Source organism: Homo sapiens, chromosome 8 (genome assembly GCF_000001405.40).
Source record: "Homo sapiens chromosome 8, GRCh38.p14 Primary Assembly".
Lineage (NCBI taxonomy): Eukaryota > Metazoa > Chordata > Mammalia > Primates > Hominidae > Homo > Homo sapiens.
The window spans coordinates 95295376-95318914 of NC_000008.11; the positions used below are offsets into that span (position 1 = coordinate 95295376).

The 23539-nt window shown below is 42.2% G+C and overlaps 1 long non-coding RNA gene across 9 annotated transcripts in view; it reads left to right on the plus strand.

The window, feature by feature from the left end:
- Positions 1–23539, plus strand: part of CFAP418-AS1 (CFAP418 antisense RNA 1) — a 541308-nt gene that overhangs the window by 26540 nt on the left and 491229 nt on the right. For 3 of the 9 annotated variants that reach the window (NR_038201.1, NR_038203.1, NR_038208.1), the window contains exon 2: positions 5747–5817. The exons of the other annotated variants lie outside the window; for them this stretch is intronic. This is a non-coding gene — a long non-coding RNA (CFAP418 antisense RNA 1). The remainder of the gene's footprint in view (positions 1–5746; positions 5818–23539) is intronic. 9 annotated transcript variants of the gene reach the window in all.

Consider the following 23539-nt stretch of genomic DNA (forward strand, 5'->3'; position numbering starts at 1 on the left):
TGGGTGTGTGTGAATAGTTCTATGCAATTTTATCATGTGTGGATTTGTGTGTTCACCATCACAATCAGGATACAGAACTCTTCTATCATCACAAAGGTCCTTGAATTCCTTTTAAAAAGGAAACATCCACTTCTGAGAGCACTATTACCTCATGCTGCTAAGATGTAATTGAGGTTACAGTCTCCTTTATATCTTTTGCATTTCATTAATATTTTTGTGTGACTACATCCTGCTTATCTCACAGACATAACAACATTTGGGTCCTTTTGACTGGATTACGAAGTTATGTTGCTTTCATTTTCAGCTCACCCTTAGGCAAGCCATGTAAGGAGGTGGAGGATAAGTCTCTCTTGTTTACCACTCTATACCCCGCATCTAGAACAGGGATTAGCACACAGCAGATGCCCAATAAACATTTCTGAAAGGATTTAACCCATTATATCTTGATTCTTAGTACTTAACATTCTCAGTGAGTGTGTGTCCCCCAACCCTGTACAGTTCTGTCCCAGCTACTGATCTTGATTTTGAGTCAGATTCAATCCTAGAACTTTCACTGCATTGTCTTTTTTAAATGGATTATTGACCATAATGGACTACTTTGTGCTTTTAACAAAACTGAAGCTAAAAATTGTTTAGCCTAGAAGAAATGTCTTTGACAAATATCTGTGGGTACAGCTTATGCCTGCCCCCCTCCCCATCTGCCTGCTAACCTGTTTCTTCTTACATCTCTTCATTTTATCGGGCTAAAACATCTACCAATTCAATGACATTCAGGCACCACCCCCACTGTCCCAAAATTTAAGTTCTCATGAAAATCTCATTAGCAGAGAGAGGTGGAGCAAATTGAGCCTCATCTGTTTGAGTTTCATTGTACCTGCTGCACATCGAGCAGCTGGCCACATGGGTCAGAGCTTATTCTCATGACTGCACCAGGGTTACTTTGTGGTTATTGAGAGGCCCAGTGACAGTGACTGCTAGTTGCAAAGGGAAACTTGCAGGGAAAAGGTGGAAGGAGTAAGGGAGTAGTGACTTGTGTATGTGCCAACAAGGGGCAGGCATCAGATGTTCAAATGGGCACTGGTTAAACTGTCATTCAAACTAAATTTTTGTTCTCGTATTTCCAGTTTGGACAGAGCCATTCCCTTTTTTTTTTTGTATTCTGAGGTTTGACATTGGATTTGTTACCTTGAAATTCTATAATGTGTTAATTCTCGTGGATTCTTCCTTTGACACAGTCTTAATCTAATGCTTGGAATCTTGAGACAGCGTTCTTTCAGAAACTACCCTCCCTGCCCACATCCTCATCCATACTGCATATTATTTCCAATTTAACCATTAAAATACCTGGCTTTAATCAAAAGCCTAAGGCTGCCCCTTGGATCAAATCAAGTCCAAACTCCTGCCATCTCCTGCTCTCCTCTTGAAGCTGACTGCTCACCATTAGCCCAGCATTCCTTCCTTCAGGCTAGTCCAGGCTTCTTATGAAGGACCCTGAGTGTAGTCACTTGTATTTCTGTCTTCACGCCTTTTAGCTTGTGTCATTGGGGCCTGTATGTGCCTTTGGCTGCCCCCTTCACACAACATCTGACTCCTACTAATATGTCCACCAAGGAGGCACACAACAGGCAGTGGTTAAACATGTAGTAGTAGCTTCCTGTGGTTTCTGTCATGAATGACCATAAACTTGGTGGCTTATAACAACAGGAATTTATTCTCTCACAATTCTGGAGGCCAGAAGTCTGAAATCAAGATGTATTAGTCCGTTTTCACATTGCTGATAAAGATATCCCTGAGACTGGGTAATTTATAAAGAAAAAGGTTTAATGGACTCATAGTTCCACGTGGCTGAGGAGGCCTCACAACCATGGCAGAAGGAGGAAGGTGAAAGGCATGTCTTACATGGTGGCAGACAAGAGGGAATGAGAGCCAAGTGAAAGGGGTTTTCCCTTATAAAACCATCAGATCTCTTGAACTTATTCACTATCATGAGAACAGTATGGGGGAAACCACCCTCATGATTCAATTATCTCCCACCAGATCCCTCCCACAACGCATAGGAATTATGGGAGCTACAATTCAAGATGAGATTGGGGTGGGGACACAGCCAAACCATATCACAAGGTGTCGGCAGGACTGAGCTCCCTTGGAAGGCTCTAGGGCAGAATCTTGCCTTGCCTCTTTCAGCTCTGGTGGCTCCAGCCATTCTTTGGCTTGTGGCTGTGTAGTTCCAATCTCTGCCTCTAGGTGTCTCTTGGGATACTTGTCATTGGATTTAGGACCCCTACAGGTAATCCAGAATGATCTTATCTTGAGATCCTTCAATTAATTATGTCTGCAAAGGCCCTATTCCAAATAGGGTCACATTCACAGGTCCCGGGGTGAGGACATGGACCTGACATTTTGGGGGCCACCATTCAGACCACTACAGTAATTAAACAGTCAAACCCAAAGAGGATCAATTCTGAGGTACCAACCAATGCTATTAAAATATAAGCAGCTGAGCGCAGTGGCTCACACCTGTAATCCCAGTACTTTGGGAGGCTGAGGCAGGCGGATTGCTTGAGCTCAGGAGTTTGCGACCAGCCTGGGGAACACGGTGAAACCCTGTCTCTACTAAAATACAAAAAATTAGCCGGGCGTAGTGGTGTGCGCCTGTAGTCCCAGCTACTTAGGAGGCTGAGGCAGGTGAATCGCTTGAACTCGGGAGGTGGAGGTTGCAGTGAGCTGAGATCATGCCAATGCACTCCAGCCTGGGTGACAGAGTGAGACATCATCTCAAAAAAAAAAAAAAAAAAAAAAAAAAATATATATATATATATATATATATGCAACAATTTGGACAAAAAAAAAGTGCCTATTGAATTTGTGGTTAAGATGAAGCTGGGTTAGATAGATATGCACTTAAAAACAGAAGGAAAAAAATTTAAAAGTTATAAGAATGATCCCAAATTAGCAAAATGGACTTTTACTTTGTGCTTATCTCTATGACATGACATCTCACATGGTTTTGCTCTCCCACTTGGCTGGGAGTTTCTTGTCTGTGTGTTGTGTGCTTAGCATATTTGTTGTGTAAATGAATAAAGGAAGAACTGTGAAGCCCCAACTTTGGTTTAAATAATAAACAGATAACAAATAATTAACAGACCGGCAGAAATTCAGTCTTTTAGGAATTAACAGGGAGAATTATTCAGTAGCTTTCAAGCTCAAAACACTCCAAGAATGTGACATGGCTGCTAGAAAATGTCGTACAATATTAGGGTGCATTATTTAGAGTCCAGCTCAAAGTGGGAATAAGCTTTTGTAATTTGCACAGGCTTGAAGACTGTATAGGCTCTATAGTCTTGTATAGTCTTCAGATCCACAAAAGATGAGTACACTCTATTGCTTATATGACCAGTGTTTCTTATGTTTTAAATCAGCCGATGGATCTTTTAGAAAAAGAGGAGGTTCTTGTTGCTTACTTATTATGGTCATCTATGAGCACCTAGTCAGTGATGAAACCTGAAGGAAGTGGAAGTAATCACTTGCCACTAGCTGACTCAATATATTAATCAATGCTTAGGTAAAGACATATTGATCTATTTTTTTTTTTTTTTTGAGACAGGGTCTCACTCTGTCACCCAGGCTGGAGTGCAGTGGCACGATCTTGACTCACTGCAGCCTCCGCCTCCTGGGTTCAAGCGATTCTCCTGGCTCAGCCTCCCGAGTAGCTGGGACTACAGGCAGGCGCCACCATGCCCAGCTAAGTTTTGTATTTTTAGTAGAGACGGAGTTTCACCATGTTGCCTGGAGTGGTCTGAAACTCCTGACCTCAAGTGATCCACCCACCTTGGCCTCTCAAAGTGCTGGGATTACATGCGTGAGCCACCAGCCCCTGCCTGATCTATTTACTTTGGTTGTTCATAAAAGAGAAGGTACCCAACCATGGGCTCTATTACTACATCAAGCAACCTCAGTGGTTGTGATGGTCAGTTTTGTGTGTCAGCGAGGCTAAGCTACAGTTCTTAGTTATTCATTCAAACTATGAGGGTATTTTGTAAATGTGACTAAAGTCCATAGCAGTTGACTTTAAGTAAGGGATAATTATCCTGAATAATCCGAGTTGATTCAATCAATTGAAGGGGCTTAAAAGCAGGCTGAGGTATCCCTGAGAGTGGAAGGAATTCTGCCTGGGGACAGCACCTTCAGCCTTTGCCTGAGAGCTGCAACCTGTCCTGGGTGATGGCCTGCCCTTTGGATTTAAGACTTGCTTAGCCAGTCCCACAATCTTGTAAGCTAATTCCTTGGAACACATCTCTTACTAAGATCTCCTACTGGTTCTGTTTCTCTGGTAGAACCCCACCTGATACAGCGATTGCCTGGGATCTCTGTTAAAGGGCTGAACAGCTGGGGAGGAACTGTGAGGCAGTAGAGTGTTTATCAGCGTTCCTTAAATTTTAATGAGATATCAATCACCTGGGGGTGAGGCAGGAGAACAGGGAATTAGGGTAACCAAGGGTTAAGGTATACGGAAAGAACAGCAGGTGCAGCGAGTTCTAGGCAAGATTAGGCAGCAAACAGGCCACATCCTTGCTCCTCTGATAACAAGACAGAAGTTTCCACTTCAGCCTCTAATTGGTCACAGGCCAATCCTTCATAGGGTGTAACCAATTGGAGGCCTCTAAAGTGCATCTAGGGGAGTTATTAAACTTTTGTAACTTAATAAAAAGCCTAATTGTTGTTGGTGGGGGGGGGTGCTCTTGTGCTGCTTCACTTGCTGGAGTCTGCTCCCACTCTGTGAATTGTAGCTTCGCTTCAATAAATCTGTGCGTTCGTTACTTTTTGTTGTTGTTTGTCTTTCATTGTTTCATTCTTTTGTTGCTTTGTTTGTGCATTTTATTCCGTTCTTTGTTCAACATGCCAAGAACCTGGACAACTCAGTCAAGACCTTCCATCCGGTAATAGGGTCTGAGTGGACTCAGGTGGTGTTGATGCTGCCAGTATGCTTTGATTGGCAAGACTATATCTAGTAGTTCTCAAATCAGCCTGCACATTTGAATTATCTGGAGAGCTTTTAAAAAACACTGGTGTCTAGGGCTCACCTCTAATGATTATGACTTCATTGGCCTATTTAAAGTGTAGTGAAAAGTACAGAAGCAAGAGTGTAGGTGAGTGGTTCTCAAAGTGTGGTCCCTAGACCAATAACATTGGCATCACCTGGGAACTTGTTAGAAATGCAAATAATCAGATCTTATACCTACTGACTCAAACTCTGGGATTGAATCCCAGCCATCTGATTCCCTCCAGGTGATTCTGATGTCCACTGAAATTTGGGAACCACTGGTGTAGGAAGATTTTGAGTCTGTACTCAGACTCCTTAGGCAAGCAGCCTAAGCTCTCTTTGGCAGACTTTCGTGTCTGTAAAATGGGGATAACAATAGAAGCATGTTATGGGGGTGTTTGAGTTTGATCAGGGAGTTGACACCAACTATGGGGAAAAGCTGAGGTTCCCGTGCTACGAGAGCATGGGTAAGTCTTTAATCTGGAGGGCCTGAAGACAGAAGCAAGATTTATAGTAAGCAAGACAAGAGTGAGAGGGAATGGTTTGGGATCAACTGGGAAGATGGGGTGCCCTGAGAACTTGCCTTGGTGGGCCGTGGGGGCTTGACTCAGCACCTTTATCAGTGCAGCCTAGGTGAGGACAGGCGGGGCTACCAGGATGAAATTCTAAAGAACCAAAGTCTGAAGGGTGATGTCTTTCTCTGAGGCCGTGGAAGAACTTGCCGATGGAGGGACCACAGAGGGATCTATGGGAGAACAACGGCAACTGCAGGAGAGGTAAGAAGACCTTCAAATATCAGTGGGCAAGAGTTGGGGCTGATAGCTAGAGGATAGGGCCAGGGTTCAGAACTCTGAGGCTGAGGGAAAGAATCAGGATCTGATGGGGGAGAAGAGGTGGGGGGTGTGATGGGGAGGTGTGCTGGAAGCCTAGGTGTTGTGCTGAACCCCTATTAACCTCAATAGAGAAGGCACCAAGTTCAAGAGGCCAAAGAAGAGACCTAGAGCTAGCAAATGTGACTTGGGGGTTTTACTGGGACTTACTTACAGGGGAGAGGGTCCAGTGGTGGCGAGCTGGACACCTTACCTATAGAAACAATCCAGTGGTGGTGGGCTGGACAATATAACCACTGTACGTATGGTCCAGTGGCAGCAGGCTGGGCAGGAAAACCACAATTGCTTGCAAACAGCATTCAGTTTATACAGCATTTTCATTTAACACCCTCTCCTTAATGATCTCCACCTGGTAGCTTTCATGTACCGCACTCCCCACCCCCAAACTCAGGGCCTCCATCCCCCATAGGGCCAATGTTCCACGGGACGGCCTGAGGGCTCAGATGTTCCTAACAGACAAGGAATGAATCTCCGGGTTGGTGACTTACGGATTCCCTATCTCGGAACACATTCGGGTGCGTCTGCCATATGAGGTTGTTCTCAGAGTATGCTTGTGATTTCTCTCAGGTGTGCTTACAATGCACTAGGAAGTCAGCTCGTTTGGGGTTTGCTCTTGGGGGCCGACAGGAGGAAAATGCCTGGGCCCAGGTTTAAGGACTCCTATGAAGCAGACAAACCCACCATTCCAAACTCTAGCCCTTCTCAGGCTTATCTCGGGCCAGAGCTATTCCAAGGTCCCAGGCAAAGCCAGGACTGGAACCCTTGTCTGCTTATCTAAGGCTAGTGGTGGAAGGGTGGGGATGGAGGCAACTGCAGTGAATCCTGCACCCCCACTTCCTAGGCCTCCCAACCTCCCCAGCATTTTTGAAGTTCCAAACATGTTTCTGGGTTCTCTATCTTGGTCCCCAAGCGACCTTGGCCTTAAACACATCGTGAGTCTTTAGTGCTCTGCTCAGAACTCAAAAGGTTGGTGTAACTAAGATAGAAATGCTGTGTCTACAGCCGTTGCTGTGAAATGGGAATGGAAAGGGCTGCCAGGAAGTGAAGTCTAGTCTCTCTCAATGTGTGAGGTGCAAAAAGAAAAGCTGCTGTTCTGTCTCTGAGACCTTGGATCTCTAGGAGGAGGGATGAGAGTTAAACTTCCTTTACATTTTTTCACTTTGCTATATTACTGCCTTGGACTGTTTCTACTTTTCTTCTGCTTCTATCTTCCCTTCTTTTGATGAAAGAGAAGGGGGAACTGGGCAATAATCTGATTTAATGAAACCTGCCATGCTATTTGAGAAAAACTGAAAGCTTTGTTTTAGGTTAAAATGAAAAATTGTATATAATGTAAAATTAGTAAAACAGACATGTTAGGGGAGCACGTGCTGGGATTTGTTAGAATGAAAGTACCCTGTCTCAGCTTTGAGGAACCACCGCAGCCTACTGTGGGTTGTGGGTTATGGACAAAGGCGGCACACAGGATGTCACATATGCCTGTGCAGTGAAATTATCGAGAGACTGGATGGGCAGGATTAGAGGTCAAGAGCTTGACCAGGTAAAAGGGATCTTCTAGTTCTCTTTAGATAGTTGAAGCTGACCGCTTCTCAAGGAAAAATGTGTTTTAGGGTATTCAAGAAAGCACAAGAAAATCAATATTTTTAGGCTAGTTTTAAAGGGGTATTTATTGGCTGGTGGGTTAGGCATCTAATAGTTAACCAGTAGGTTACATTTATGGATTAGTAGCTAGGAAATAAAACATGAGATTCTTTGTGTCTTAGTTTATTCAGGCTGCTGTAACAAACTACTATAGACTGGGTGGCTTAGAAACGACAGAAATTTCTTATTTCTCAGGAAACTGAGAAGTCCAAGATCAATGCAGTGGCAGATTTGGTGTCTGGTGGAGGCCCATTTCCTGGTTCATGGATGGATGGTCTTGCTGTAACTCCACATGGCAGGAGGGACAAGAGATCTCACTTAGGACTCTTTTATAAAGGCAATAATCCCATTATAAGGGACCTAATCACCTTTCAAAGATCCACCTCCTAATACCATCACCTTTCAAAGATCCACCTCCTAATACCATCACCTTGGGGTTGAGGATTTCAATACATGAATTTTTGTGGGGCATGGTGGGGGGCATTAACACTTTTTATCCATTGAAATTTTCAGAAATTTCCCACAAAACTACAGACTGAGTTTTACAAATGGTTTTCAGAGTCAGTAGCCTGAAGTCAGATAGGTTAGGTTCAAATTCCCTCACTAGTGTGCTTGATCCTGGGGCAAGTTAGTTCTCTGAACCTTGATTTCTCTCATCTTTGAAATGGGGATTATTATGGGAATTAAATGTACTACTAATGTATGCGAATGTGGTTTGTAGAGTGCCATTTAAATATTAGTCGTTATGCTTCCAAAGTCCTATTTCCTAGAAGATTAAATTGGATGTCTCATGGGGTCTCAGGAGTTTGTCTTTTGTTTTTTGATCCACCTATAGGCATACACAAAATGTATTCCAGCATCATTACCAAACTGCAGTGGTATTCTGGGATCTGAGCCTAGGTTTCTCTTTCTCTTTTAATGATAAATAAATGAATAATCACCGTGGTTGCAAAGTTCGGGTGAAGCCAAGCTTTTCCTTTTCCTCAGCGCAGGCTCTCTGGGCTGAAGCCTATGTGGAACTGGGGAAAGGCATGGCTGGGGCCTCTTTCCCTAACTTGTTCTACTTCTGCACCACTCACTCTGCTGCCCTGGATGGAGGTGGAGGTGAAAGGGAAGGTGAAGGGGCTGGGAAAGTCCTGTTTGGCAGGACAGTAGTAACCTGCCACTGAGGCGGCTTGGATGATGCAGTGTTAGTGCTTACTCTTGGTGGGCAGAGGGAGTTTGCAGTGAGTTTTCAGGGACTCTGGTCTTAGCATTTTTCTACATGCAATTCGCTTAATGTGGGCAGTTACTCCTGCAGTTGGACATCTGTGGCTCTCCCCTCAGCCCCTGGCTCCTGGCAGTCTGTCTCTCTGTTGGGGTCACCTTATCCCTCCAGGGGATCCATTTAAGATAACCAGAGTCTGGTTCTCTTCCATGGGGTTTCCAGTTGCCTAGTGAGAACTCTGTGGATGTCTGTTTCCCACTCAACGCTGGAAAGCCTGGCTGTTCCCTTCATTCTGCCTCTTTGCTACCGGGTAGCCATTCCAGCCAGCTTTTCATCTTCAACACTAGAGGGACGAGTCAGGTTTTAGTCCACAATCTCCAGGGAACAAACAGAAAACTCTCCAAGTTGCCCTCTTGAAGAGCCCTCTTGGCATTAGGAGGGGGAAGCACCACCTTCTCCTTGTCCTTGGGGACTCTTGGACACCCATAACTCTCTTCAGAGAAAATCCCAACTACCTCCTAACTTCTGTCTTCCTGATGAATTCTATATTTCTTTAATATTGTCAGGAGGTGCATGGTGGGCTCCCACTGGAAGAACAATGTTTTCGGTCACTCCCTTCCAAATCCTGAAGAGAAGGCCTTGACATCTGTTGTCTCAGCTTTGGGGCATGGCCAAAATGTTAAGATGGGAAGAGTCCCATTTGAACATCCTGCCTCACCAAGATAAGGTTAAGTGTTCTCATGGCCAGGACTGCAGGCACTTCCTTCAGGATCCTTCTGCTTCCCCTGGATACCTGGAGGCCTTTGGGCTTCCCTTGTCCATGTCCCAAACTCCTTAATAAAAGTCTTAACTCTTTTAGTCCCATCTAACTCCAAACTAAGTTGTTTTTCACTAGTTGTCAGACAAAACTAATCTTCTTCAAGGAAATCTCATTAAAACAAATGCAAAACCAAGGCAGTTAACTCTCCCAGAATTATCTGCGTGTTGAAAGAGACGGAAAATTCATGAGAGGGAAAAAAATCCAACAGAAATTCAGCATAGTTTCTGGCAGATGAAACTCACACTATGTCCAGTTGTGGCCACCCCGTCTAGGGCCAGGAGTGAGGCGGGGCAGTGCCTGTGGAGATTCAAGGCGCTCTGCGTCCCTCCTTAGAGGGTCCTCTTCTACTTTCCCTGGAGGTGGAAGTGCCTTTCCCTTCTGTTGACACTGGGTCGTCACCAACGTGAGTCACAGACATTCTCTGTAAGCTTGTAACCAGGATGGCATATGGACCAAAATGATACCCAATTTGAAAGGTGTATGGAAATAAAACAAAACCCTCCCATGTAGATTATTCCCACAGCACCGTCTAGAAAGCCAGTGCCCTTCCCCTCATTCCCTTTTAGCCGCTTCTCAAAATGACCAGTAGGGGGCACTGCAGGGTGAGATTCCCAGGCCTCCTGCACCTCCCATTCATGAAAAGTTATTGGAACATGAAGTATGGAATATAATACACCTATTTTAGCTACAGTAATACTTGCTGAGAAATTGATTACTCATAAATGTAAGATCTCGGTTGTTCTTGAGATGTGATTAGCTAAAGAAGGAAGTTTTAGCTTGAAGGATAGGGGATCAGTTCTAACTAGGTGTTTGTGAAGTACTGGACCCTAACGTCCCTGGAAAAATGTCTCAGACATGACCGTTGTGTGACTATGATGTATTTGGACAGGGCACCAAAAGAAGGATCTGGCAGCCTTATATTGGGGGTGCGGGGGAGCCAGAGGCATGAAAGCTGAGTGTTTTTAAATGTCAGGAAGAAGCTATCTTTTATGCTGACTTTATTGGATACTTGGATGCTTTATTGCATGTCGGGCAATTGAACTTAAAGCCAGCAGCAAGTTTATTATAAAATCAAATGAAGAAGGGACAAACAGTTCTTTTTGTCAAGGAAGGGAAATTGAGGTACCCATGGAAAATAGAAAACAAATCTTAGATTTTAAGAGTCACAGATACAGAAACAAAAACCCAACGCAGGTTTTGAAATTGGGGCATTTTAATTTAAAACAAAGTTATTTTTCCGTCAGGGAATACATTCATGTGATTCAAATCAGAAGATGCAAAGAAGTTTATAAGTCTTCCACCCCTTTCTACCAGGCACCAATTTCCCCTCCCCACAGCTTTCTAGAAGTATTTTATGCATTCTACAAATTACGCATCATCTTAGCTTTATGGTTGTAATATGATTATATCTTGGAGATAATTCTATTTTAGTACTACAGTGTTTTCTTATTCTTTTTTATTGCTGTAAAATATTCCATTGTCCATGGATATACATCTGGGCTATTTTTAGCTGTTCCCTACTACAGAGGAGGATTTGTTGGACAACCTTATATAGGAAGCTAGAGCTCTGGGGAGTATACTAAGATTTCCCAAAGCAGTCAGCTCAGTATTAGGCTGCTTCATGGGGGCTGCCATGGAGAGGGTGTATTCAGAGGGACCCCAGAGGTCTTTATATACCCACCAACCCAAGATTGTAAAAGTCTATGAATCTTTGACATCAGCTCCAATCCAAGGCTAGTTATAATCTTTATAAACATTTGCTTGTACCAAGGTCTTGCTGTGTAGATACTCAAGAACTTCCTGGCTTTTCATCCTGTTCCTTTGTCTTCTCTGGGCCTCAGTTTCTTCATGTGTAAAATTGGAAAGCTGGAGTATAAGTTGTTTTCAGACCTTTTCTTAAACCAGTGTTGTTATTTTTTTTAAACCAGATGAAATTTAGGAGGAACTCTAATAAAAGCCCAGATAAAAATGAGGTATGATATAGAGTGGTGTCTTAGTTTCTTCTTTATTTCTGTGCAGATAGTATTCTGTAGAATCTCCGAATTAACTCTGAGAAGCTGTAAGGATCTGTGGAAGATTATGTGAAAAGAAACAGATACTAGCTGGAAGGTTTTCTGTTTATGTCTGTGACAAGATTATAATAATGACTGGTTACCATGATTCACAGGGATCTAGGGTTCTTTTGTGATCTACCGTCTACCAGTTTCTACATAAATTATGAAAATTAGAATGACTCTGCCAAGAAGGGAAAAGACCAGAGGATTAGAGCATGAACAGTAGGTCTGGGTGAGATGATGGGAAGAAGGGAAGGCCCCCCTCCCCTGAAAAAATGGTAAGAACTTGGGAAATAAAGGAGGGAAGACATTCATCTGACTTTCAGATTCATGGCTTGATCAGCAGGTATCGTTTGTGAGCAGATTCTTTTTTTTTGAGAGAGAGGAAGAAGTCCATTTTATAGAAAATATAACTTTTTCAAAAATTTTTTTTGTAACATGTTTTCCTGTTGTATAATCTCTTTAACTTTTAAGTTCAGGGGTACAAGTGCAGGATGTGCAGGTTTGTTACATAGGTAAACATGTGTCATGGAGTTTGTTGTATAGATTATTTCATCACCCAGGTTTTAAGCCTAATTTTCCTGATCCTCTCCCTCCTCCCACGCTCTGCCATCCAGTAGACCCCAGTGTGTGGTGATCCCTTCTATGCATCCATGTGTTCTCATCATTTAGCTCCCACTTATATAAGTGAGAGAATGTGGTATTTGGTTTTCTGTTCCTATGTGAGCTGATTCTTGAATGTGAAAGGGTGTCCAAGGCAGGCAGAAAGACACCATTCATAGGAAGAAGAGAGACTAAAAGGTACTTAAAATTTAGTTGATTTTAAAAATATGAAAGTATTTAGATATTGATTTTTTTCAGTAATAACTTCTTCTCTGGACTTTAGACAGGTTGAAAAGATTCTAAACATGGTGTGGTTAAATAGCCCGCTGGAAGCATATTTCAATCTGACTCCATCTTCCAGAGGAGGAATGTGTGTGTGTGTGTGCACGCACGCGCGTGTGTGCACGTCTTTGTTATGTTGTAGGTAGACTGAACCATCAACATTAGCCTTTGCTTTTGGTACCATTCACCTCTTAGGGACATTTTCTGTGGGTCTGCTGTGTCTGGAGGAGATTTGGCTGTGGCAGGAAGAGGAGTTCAGTAGAGATTTTGACTTACAAACTCTCCATAGTGAAGGCTGGGCATGGTGGCTCATGCCTATAATTCCAGCACTTTGGGAGGCCAAGGTGGGCAGATCATGAGGTCAAGAGATCGAGACCATCCTGGCCAACATTGTGAAACCCCATCTCTACTAAAAATACAAAAATTCGCAGGGTGTAACGGCGCGCACCTCTAGTCCCAGCTACTTGGGAGGCTGAGGCAGGAGAATCGCTTGAACTCAGAAGGTGGAGGTTGCAGTGAGCCGAGACCGCGCCACTGCACTCCAGCCTAGTGACAGAGGGAGACTCCATCTCAAAGAAAACAAAACAAAAAAACCACAACAAAAAACTCTCCATAGTGAATGCTTGTAGCCCTGGCCCATCAAAAGATAACAGAGGAATCAGAAAAGCTATTCTGATTTACGAGTCACATCTAAAAGCCCCTGAGTGGCCTCATTTCCCACCCCACATCATAGCAAATTATTCTCTATATCGAAGTTAAGAAAGATTTCCAGCATTGATAAGCTAAGCTTTTTTCAAACTTATGAAATGTCTACAAATATACTATATAATAATAAAATTGGTATACGGGCTCATGATTCTTAATATTATACTAGCATTACCACCCCTTCCCCATTCTTATGAGGTTTACTGTCTCAGAATTTCTATCTGAATTTCAATGTAAATCAGAAGAGAAAATGGGAAGTACAATGTGTGTGTGTAGCAGACAAAAGGAGTTATGCCTTAAACTTCAAGGTTTCCTGACTCTATAGAGATAGCAGTAGCAAAGCCTGATGGCCCAAATATTCTGTCTTACTCAACATTTAATGCTGTGTGGGATTATAAGAAATGCTGAGATTCTCTTTTTTCTGCAAATACCTGGAAAGTTTTGTGTATCTTCAAAAAAGAATTCAAAATCTGCTTTCTGTGCTGCCATCTGTTAGAAGGCATCCTGCCCAAGAAATGCTTCACCATAGTATGGGGAATCTCTGAAGACTTGATTGAAATGAGTTTGCACAGGAAAATAACATGTAGCAGAATACAGAAGATGATCCTGCCCCAAAAGGTCCTAGATTGGCCAATCAGCCTCTGAATTGAAGAGTCGAGAACTGACAAGGTCAAGAGTGAGGGTCTGATTTCCTCAGAGGCTGTTGGCAGGTTTGCCAACCCCAGAAAGAGCTTGCTGCTGTTGATCAGAGGGGTAGGCTCCCCATGAATCTCTTCACTCCCATTGTTACCACTGTGTAGTCAATAATATCTCTGTGTGACAAGAAGAAAATACTCTTGTTGAAGAGACATAGTCAGATGACTTATAAAATTAACTATATCTCATTTGAGAAGTTTCTTACAATCTGGACCATTTTGAATAAGTAAATCAATTATTTTTGACCAGATCCCTCTCTCATTATGTATCCTGACCATTGGTAAGTGTAGGATTAGTATCCAGCAGTGGCTGATATAGGATAAAATGTATATCCCATCAAATCCCTATGAACAGAGAGGAGAGTCACTGCCTTTTCTTAGGATAGTGAAAAATTTCAAGTTAATTTTTAAAGGTGTTCTTTGCGGAGATTTTAAACACCTTAAGGGTAGGGACCAGACCCTCTTCCTTTTATCTTGTCCTTGCCTCTCATTTTCTCAGGTGTGGTCTTTTAGGCAGAATGAGCACTATTAGTGTATTTGACAAAATGATGATCTGTATTTTACTATTTGAAACAAGTTCCCCTAAAGATCTCAAAGGAGCCTGTGGTGATGGAAGGCAGTGTTAAGAAAGGGATGTGGACTAGATGTGTGCAAATAGAGAACTTTTGAGAGTGCCTGTAGGAGACGCAAAAGCATCCTGGAAATGCTAAAAAAGATCCTGGACCAATTTTTTCATCCCTCAGCTATATGATTGTAGGCAACTTGCTCAAACTCTCAGTAACTTAGTTTCCTCATCTATAAAACTAGAATAATACATCTACAACACAGGGTTGTTTCTGGGATTAAATCACGCCTGTAATCCCAGCACTTTGGGAGGCTGAGGCGGGTGGATCACGAGGTCAGGAGATCGAGACCATCCTGGCTATGGTGAAACCCTGTCTCTACTAAAAAAAAAAAAAAAAAAAAAAAATTGCAAAAAATTAGCTGGGCATGGTGATGGGTGCCTGTAGTCCCAGCTGCTCGGGAGACTGAGGCAGGAGAATGGCGTGAACCCAGGAGGTGGAGCTTGCAGTGAGCCGAGATCGCGCCACTGCACTCCAGCCTGGGCGACAGAGCGCAACTCCATCTCAAAAAAAAAAAAAAAAAAAAAGAACTTGGAACAATAACTGGCAATAGTAATTGCTCAACAAATGTTAACTATTCTTATCACTATTATTAAAGGTCTCGGGAGAAAGGACAGATTAGCTTCCCCCCAACCCAAAAGGTAAAATATTTAATGAATATACTTTATAACGTTAACTTGAGAGAGAGATGTTTATGAACCTTGCAGTATAGTAATTCATAGATATGGAGTCTATCATGCTTTCCCTCGACTTCAGCTTCTTTGGTCTCTCTGACTTCTTGAATTGTGGGTCTTGGGTGAACTTTAGAAGATCTGCAAGGCAGTGTAGCTCAGTGTGGAAGGAGCCCTGAAGCTGGAGCAGACACCTGCTTCCAGTTCCGTCTCTGCTGTTTATGGCCTTGTGAGCTGTGGGAGTCACTCAGATTCTTACGTGTCAAATGACATCTGGTGAAGTGGATAGTGAGAAACATTCTATAGAGGTTTAAGTATAGAATTTTAATGAAATGAGACTGGTAATGTAACAAGTGTGACATTTTATGCATGCAAAATAACCCTGTCTCATTAAAAAGTATCTTGAGAGGCAAGTGCCACGCATAACACTCAAAATAATTTGGTACTGCTTTTAGAATTGTCTTCAGATTCATGGATGAAATCCAGTCTCATAACTTTGTCACACATTTTCACTTTTTAATTTTTAAAAACTTTTAAATTTTATAAGTCTAAAATTTTTCAACATGGCTGCAAAAATAGTTTGAAGTTCCACATACCCTTCATCCAAATTCCCAAAATATTGATTTATTGTATAACCACAATATAATAATAAAAAGCAGGAAATTAACATTACTATAATACTACTTAATCTGCATACTTTATCCAGATTTCACACACTGTCTTACTAATGACCTTTTTCTGGGCGGTATCTAATTTAGGACTACACATTTGCATTTAGCTATATTTTCTTAGTTTTCTTTAATATGGAACAGTTCTGTGGTCTCTCTTACCCTTTTTGAAATTATTTGGTAGATTTTCTCCTAATTTGGGTTTATCTGATGTTTCTTCATACTTAAAGTTGTGCATCTTTGGCAAGCGGGCCATGGACGAGATGCTGTGGCTTTCTCAGCATGTTATGTCAGGAGGTGCATAATCTCAATTTGTCTTATTACTCAAATGAAACTTTGCTCAGTCAGTTAAGGCGGGGTCTGCCAGACTTCTCCACTATAAAGTTACTACTTTCTCTTTAAAAGAATATCCCGTGGTGGATACTTTGAGACTATATAAGTCTCCCTTTTCCCATTCATTCTCTCATTTTAGCATCTATAGTTCTTGCCTGGAACAATGATTGCTTAGGTGTTTGCCAAATGGTAACGTTTATGTAAAACTTCAAGCCAGTATGCCCATGGATGGTTCACTCTTACCACACTGGACTCAAGGCGACTGTGTGGTGTTGAAACTGTGGGTCGTTCCCACATTCAAATCTAGTGTCTGCAAATGCTGTTCTTCTTTCCCTGTCTCCCTCCTCTGACACGTTTTGCACTGCCTACATGGAGGCTTATCAGGCAGAAGGAAGTACATGTTCTTTGGAAGTAGCTTTGGATTAGAATTCTAGACCCACCACATACGACTTGGGTGACCCCATTCAAGTAAATTAATCTCTCTGTGTTTCAAGTGCCCAATAAATAGAGAATCTTGCTTCATGGGTTCTTTTAAAGAGTAAATAAGATACCATGTATAAAATCTTCTGCATCAAGCATGATGTGAATCTCTTTAATGTTATCTCTATTTTCTTTTTCCAATGAAATCACTCAAATGGCCACAGTGAATACAAAGGCTGAATTTTGATTCCATTGGTCTGGATGGAAGCCAGCTTAAAATCTCTGCGGCTGATTCTAATGTGCACCCAAGATTCGGAACCACTGAATTTGATGCTCACTAGCTGATTTAAAACTCTAAGATAAAATAAAATTGAATATATCTTTACTGATATCATTTTATCAAAAATGAAATATTGTATAAAGGGAGAAATTTTGTGAGGAAACTTTAGGTATTTTAGGTATTTGCTAATTCATTTATTAGTAGTTTCTTGAGCCCCTATGTTCAGGCATCGTGCTAAGCAGTGGGCATATGATGATGAGATAGACACAGTCAAGCAGCTACAGCACAGTTCAGGGCAATACAAGCTCCGGTGGGGGCAGGTACAGAGATCTAATTTGCCTTGTAAAGGAGTTCGAATTTTATCCCATCAGCGTTTGACATATGAAGGATATTGAGCTGGTGGGGAGGGGGTCATGATTAAATGTTAGAAAGACTACTCTGGTGTGTTCGGAATGGGAAGGCAGGGTGATCAGGAGAGATGGATGCTGAGGCTTTATCCTGAGATGTTACAGTGGGGATGAAAAGGTGGGGTAGGACTTGTGAGACATGTTGAAGGCAGAATGATAGGACCTAATGACCAGTGATGTAAGGGAGGTCTGATGACTTCCAGATGCCTGGGTAGATTGCAGCATCATTCATGGAACCAGGGCAAAAGCAAGGTTGTGGATGGGGATATTCCGAGTTCAGTTTTGAACCTGGGCAGTCAAGGCCTTTGAGAACATGTTATCTAGTAGGTGGTTGATAAAGGTTGATAAATGAATCCAGAATTTGGGGAAGGTATCTCCATTAAAGAGAAAGATAAGGCTCTGTGCAATTAGTATTTGAAGCTGCAGGTATGGATGAAATTGTCAGAATATGTGGAAGAATAAGAGAAAAGCCAAAGACAGATCTCAGGATCATTGGCATTAAGGGTACATTGAGGAAGAGGAGCCAGAAGAGGGGAGTCCAGGGAGCAAGAAGAGAACGGGGAGCAAGAAGAGAACCAGGAGAAGAGAGCTGCAGGGACATGAAGGAGGAGGAAATGTGAAGCAAGGTAGACCAGTCAGCAGTGCAGAGGCAACAGATGTGTCAAGTAGGGTAAGGCCTGAGCTGAGCTGCAATCACTGGACTTGGCCTCTAGGCGGGCAGAGAAGAGGTTGAAAATGTCTCCCCTTTCAAGAAACCTTTCCTGACTAATTCCACACCACTCTGTTTACTCAACTCATTAGGAGGCATTGAATGACATCCTCTCTAAGCTGCAAGTCCCCATATAGGTGATTTAATACATGCCTTACTGAACAGTTGAGGAAATTGAGTCCCAGAAAAGACATTACTTGTCTGAGGTCAAGTGGCAGATTCAAGACCTTAAACCAGGTATTTTCCACTTTTATTGGTACTGGTACAATTAGTTTACACCAATTTCCTACTTCTTCATAGGTCGCTTATTTACCCTCTGGTTATTTTGTGTTTATGTAATTTGTAGTTTTTGTTGTTTTCCAAGGTCATAGAGGATAGGAACTAGACTACTATTTTGTTACCTTCTCTGTTCCTCAGTGTTGACCTTTTTGACTTCATGGGCTATTTTAAAGAATAAATAAGCTGGTGTGGATAAAACTCCTTGCAAAAAGCATGATAGACAACAGCTGTTCAACAAACATAATTGGACAATCAGAAGGTATTTAGAATGTGATGGAACTGATGAATGAATGACAGTATAGAGTAGTCAGTGACATTTCTTTTTATCAATATTTTGATCAAGGACTGCCAAATACTATGTAGATAGTCCTGACATCAGGAAGTTAGCTACATGGACAGATGCTGTGTAGGTCTGGATCTCAGAGGGAAAGTCCAACCCTGTCGTTCTGCCTGTGGGCAGGTGCCCCTCTGGGATTCACTGTTCCTGAATCTATAGCCACAGAAATCTATCCTAGGTACACACAGTATGCATACCAGGAGAATGATGGAATTTGTAATGATCATTAGTGTAATGGACATTTGAAATGTTTATACTACCTAGCATTCATTCGTCCTTCCTAGAAACATCCTGATTTCCTTTTGAGGCAAGGCTTTGCTCACTGTGATGTCTTGGGACAATCCCTATGTCAGTTAGCTGTTATGGAAGTGAAAAGGACAAGATTTTTTCTCTCCCTATCCTGGCATAGCCTGGGGTAGGGTATGGGTGTGGCATATCACCAAAGCTTAGAAATCAGACACATCTTCCTGGGACTTTGAATTTTGAGTGAGTGATGGAAAAATGAGAGAAACAGTTGGAATTTCTGTAGTTCAGTGGTGGTGCCCTGACCAGTGCTTAGTTCTTGATTCCTGGTTCTCTGGAGCTGGCTTGGATTCTGCCTGCTTCCAGGCTGGCTCTGCAGCTTCTGGTCAGTTCCTCAAGCCCCTCATTTCACTTGGCTGGAGTTAGCCATCTGGATTAGTCTGCTCAGGCTGCCACAGACTGCAAGGCTGAAACAACAGAAATTAATTTCCCCACAGTTCTGGAGGCTGAAAGTCCAAGATTGACGTTCCAGCAGGGGCTGTAGACTGTAAGTTTGTGTTATGGTTTCTTGTGAGGGCTCTGTTCCCTGCTTGCAGATGGCCACTTTGGCCTCTCATGGCCAAAAGAAACCTCTGTGCATGTATGTGGGAAGAGAGGAGAAAGGACAGAGCATGCATGAGGGAGCAAGCTCCCCGATGTCTCTTCTTATAAGAACACTAATCCTGTTGGATCAGGGTCCCACTCTTACGAACTCATTTAACCTTAATTACTTCCTTACTCAAAATACAGTCCACACTGTGGGGTTACGGCTTCAACATATGAACTTACTCTGGGGGAGGACACAAACTTACAGTCCATAACACTAGCCAAGGTCAGTTTTCCTTGCTTGCAAATCAGGAAACTAAATCTAAATTTGCTAGTCTTATTTTTTCCTTCTGAACTCCAAAATAAAAATGCTTTGTTCTTTCATCTTGTTCTGCAAAACTAGCTCTACATTGTTGGTCAAAACAGTAGTCTGTTTAACAAAAAGCAAGGGAACTTTGACCGACATCAGTCCTCCTTTCACCTCCTCTCACCTCCTCTCCTCCTTGCATCTTTGCTGGCTCTCATGGCATTTCTTGAGCAAGCCTGTCAGGCAGGCAGGTGACTGGAGACTCTCTGATGTCATTCTCCACACTGATGTCAGATGCCAACCTTGGGGCTGGCTGGGTGGAAAAATGACCAGCTTGGCTCTGAGAGTTCTGGCTCCATGTTGCAAGAAGTTGGCAATTTTCTTCTTCCTTTTTTCTTTTTATTGCTTGTTCCACAGTCTGAGGCACATACACAGCTGGTTGGCAGTTCTGCTTCTAAAGCTGTGGCACTCCCCATCTTAAAGGTTTTGAATCTGCCTGCTGTTCCAGACATGGGGACAATGACAAATTATATTAAGCCAGGCCCTTCTTCCAAGGATCCCCAAGTTAGAAGTCTGTGTGGAGCCTGGCAGAGGGAAATGTACATTAAACTCTCCCAAGGATAAGGCTGTTCTCGAACAATCCACCCCATGCCACATTTATACCTGAAGAGTCACCAACCAGGTTGGAGAAAGGTGCATATGAATGTGGCTCTGAAAAACTTTTGCTTCATGCTCATTTCATTTTTTATTCTGCCCCAGTAGTCCCCTCTGCACCTGGGAATCACTCAGTATGAAGTAAACCATAGCACTTTCCAGAACTGTTTTTGTGTTTTTTCAACTGCAGATGTCCGGGAAACAGTAAACTCTTGTTTTGAAGCTTTTTAAAAATTGAGCTTTTGATTCCAAGCAACTGAAAATGGTTCCTGTTTATGTTTCTTATTGGTGATAGTTTAACTAGCTAGATTTTGTTTTTTCTGGATTATGGTTTTTTTTTTTTTTTTTTTTAATAGTTTTCCTTTAGGAGTTTACCAGTCCCTGGAGCTCATTGGTAGCAGAGGAAAAAAGTGTCCGGAGAAATTGAATTTCTTTTATGTCCACAGAAAAAGTGGCCAGCTGCCATTATAGGATAAACCTAGGGCTTTCTTCCCAGGGGCTCATGGATTAGTAAAATCTGAGCAATGGTACTGCCCTTTTTTTGGTAAGGCTAGAATATATACTTTGGAAAGTGTCTATAAAATTAAGTCAATATAACCACTTATTTCTGGCATTTGTTATGGGATAATTATCCTAATAGTTCTTTAGTCTTGTAATTTAGTAAAATGGATATTTTCCTTACTCTTGAGTTGCTTGGGCAAGCATGACTAATAGTTACCGAAGTGTAGATCGTTTATTAACATGTCTAAATCCTTCTTTTTAAGTCAGCCTAACAGGTAGTTGTTACCATCATGCAGCATTTTCACCAGTTCTTCCCATACCTAACAATTAAAATTGCCCACATGTGATTGAGAATTCATTGTGTGTACATTTCTGGGTTCCAGGATGGGGCCTGAATGAGGGATGTGATAAAGGAAGTATTTACAGATAAAGCATGCATATTTGTAGTTAGTTTAGACTATAGATAATGCAGATTATGTGGAAATCAAAGTGGAGACAGAGTTGGTTTTGTCAGGGCATGTTTCTTAGAGGGGAGTTTATGGAGTTGTTGGTGGGAAGTGCTAATTCCAGGCTGGAAGATGGCTGAGAAGAAATGCGAATGGAAAAGCCAGGTAGGTGAGAAAACTAATTATTGTTGAGCAGTCATACGTGCCTGACACTGTGCTAGTGCTTTACCACTGTCTTCAAAAATTAAATCTCCTTTATTAATTTACAATGTGGTAGGAATTTTTTGCTTTATTTGGGAGGAGGAAACTAAGACTAGGGTTATGCAAAGAATATTAGAGGTGATAGTAGAATTTAGGGTTACTTGACTCCAAATAATGAAAGTGAATAAGACTAACATAGGAGATACTTCCCTGGCTGCAAGGGAGGGGTCTTCATGGGGTGAATCAAGAGAAGAATTTGATTCCTTGGGACTGGGACAGTGAAGGCACATTTATATCTCATAGGAAAGACAACCTGAGGCTCCTGTAGCTCCTTGAGCAGGCTACTGACATGATAGGGAAGCACATTATATCTGTGATATTTATCCATGATGTTGAGAGTATCAGTAGTTTTTTCTTTATTGCCATGTCATAGTCTATGGATGATGAACACTTTGGTTGTGTCCAGTAATGACTTTCTACAATAAAGCTGCTAGTGACAATCTTATACAAGTCTTTTAGTGTTTGAAACCACTGATTTTTGTTTGAGATATTCCCAAGAGAAGAAAGACTATATCACAGGCATACACGTGTTTGGCTTTAGTAGGCACTGCCAGGCAAACATTTTCCCAAGCTGGTTGTACCTATTTACATTCTTATCAGCAGGGTAGAAGAGTTCCAGTCTGTTTAACTTTCATATCTTGTCTTCCTGGCATGACTTCGGATAGGAAATTATGCAACAAGGGACATACTGTTTCTTATCAGCCATATGGCCTGCACAGAGACTGTGGGTCACAGTGGTGTAAAAAAACACCAAACAACTTAATAATCAGAAGCTCACCAAGAATCAGATCCTCCACACTACAAAAAGGCTAAAGGAAACTGCAGGAAAGTCAAGATCTTCCAGATTCTGACAAAGGGAACAATATGACTCAAACCTTCCATGCGCTGTTTGAAAATGTTAGCCTGTTCCTTACCTTTTGACATCAGGATATTACTGAAAGGTAAACCAAATGACTGTACACCACTGAGCCAAAAACTCTGTTTAAATGATAGTCTGAGGCAAACAGATCTTTTTATTTGAGAACAATAAAATGGTTTTGTCTTCTTAGATGATCTAAAAAATTTTCTAAGCAACAACTGTAGCTCTTTGTTCTCAACTTTCTTGTAGGTTCAGGCAAAGGCCTGATAACTTTTTCTAGTTAGTTGTTGAACATGGATGTGATGGTTCTCCTTTCATGAAAGACAGCAACTGTGATGGTTAATTTAAGGTGTCAACTTGACTGGGTAAAATGATGCCCAGATAGCTGATAAAACATTATTTCTGGGTATGCCTGTGAGGGCGTTGCTAGAAGAGATTAGCATTTGAATCTGTGGACTGAGTAAAGAAGATCCATTCTCCCCAATGTGGGCAGCTATCATCCAATTCATTGAGTGCTTGAATAGAACAGAAAGGTGGAGAGTGGGCAAATTTACTCTTCTAGAGCCAGGACATCTATCGTCTCCTGCCCTTGGACATCGGAGCACCTTGTTCTCAGGCCTTTGGACTCCAGGGCTTACCCCAGTAGCCAACGCCAGCTCCCTATTCCCTCTGCTGCTGGTTCTCAGGCCTTTAGACTTGACCTGTGACCTGTATCATTAGCTTCTGTGGTTCTTAGGCTTTGGACTCAGATGAATTACACCAGTGATTTCCTGGTTCTCCAGCTTGCAGATGGCATATCATGAGACTTCTCCACCTCCGTAATTGTCTGAGCCAATTCCCATAATAAATCTCCACTTTTATCTATCTATCTCCTATTGCTTCCGTTTCTCTGGAAGAATGCTGGCTAACACAAAGATGTAGTAAAAAGCACATGAGCACATTGAGAGGCTGAGGCAGGTGGATCATGAGGTCAGGAGTTCAAGACCAGCCTGGCCAAGATGGTGAAACCCAGTCTCTA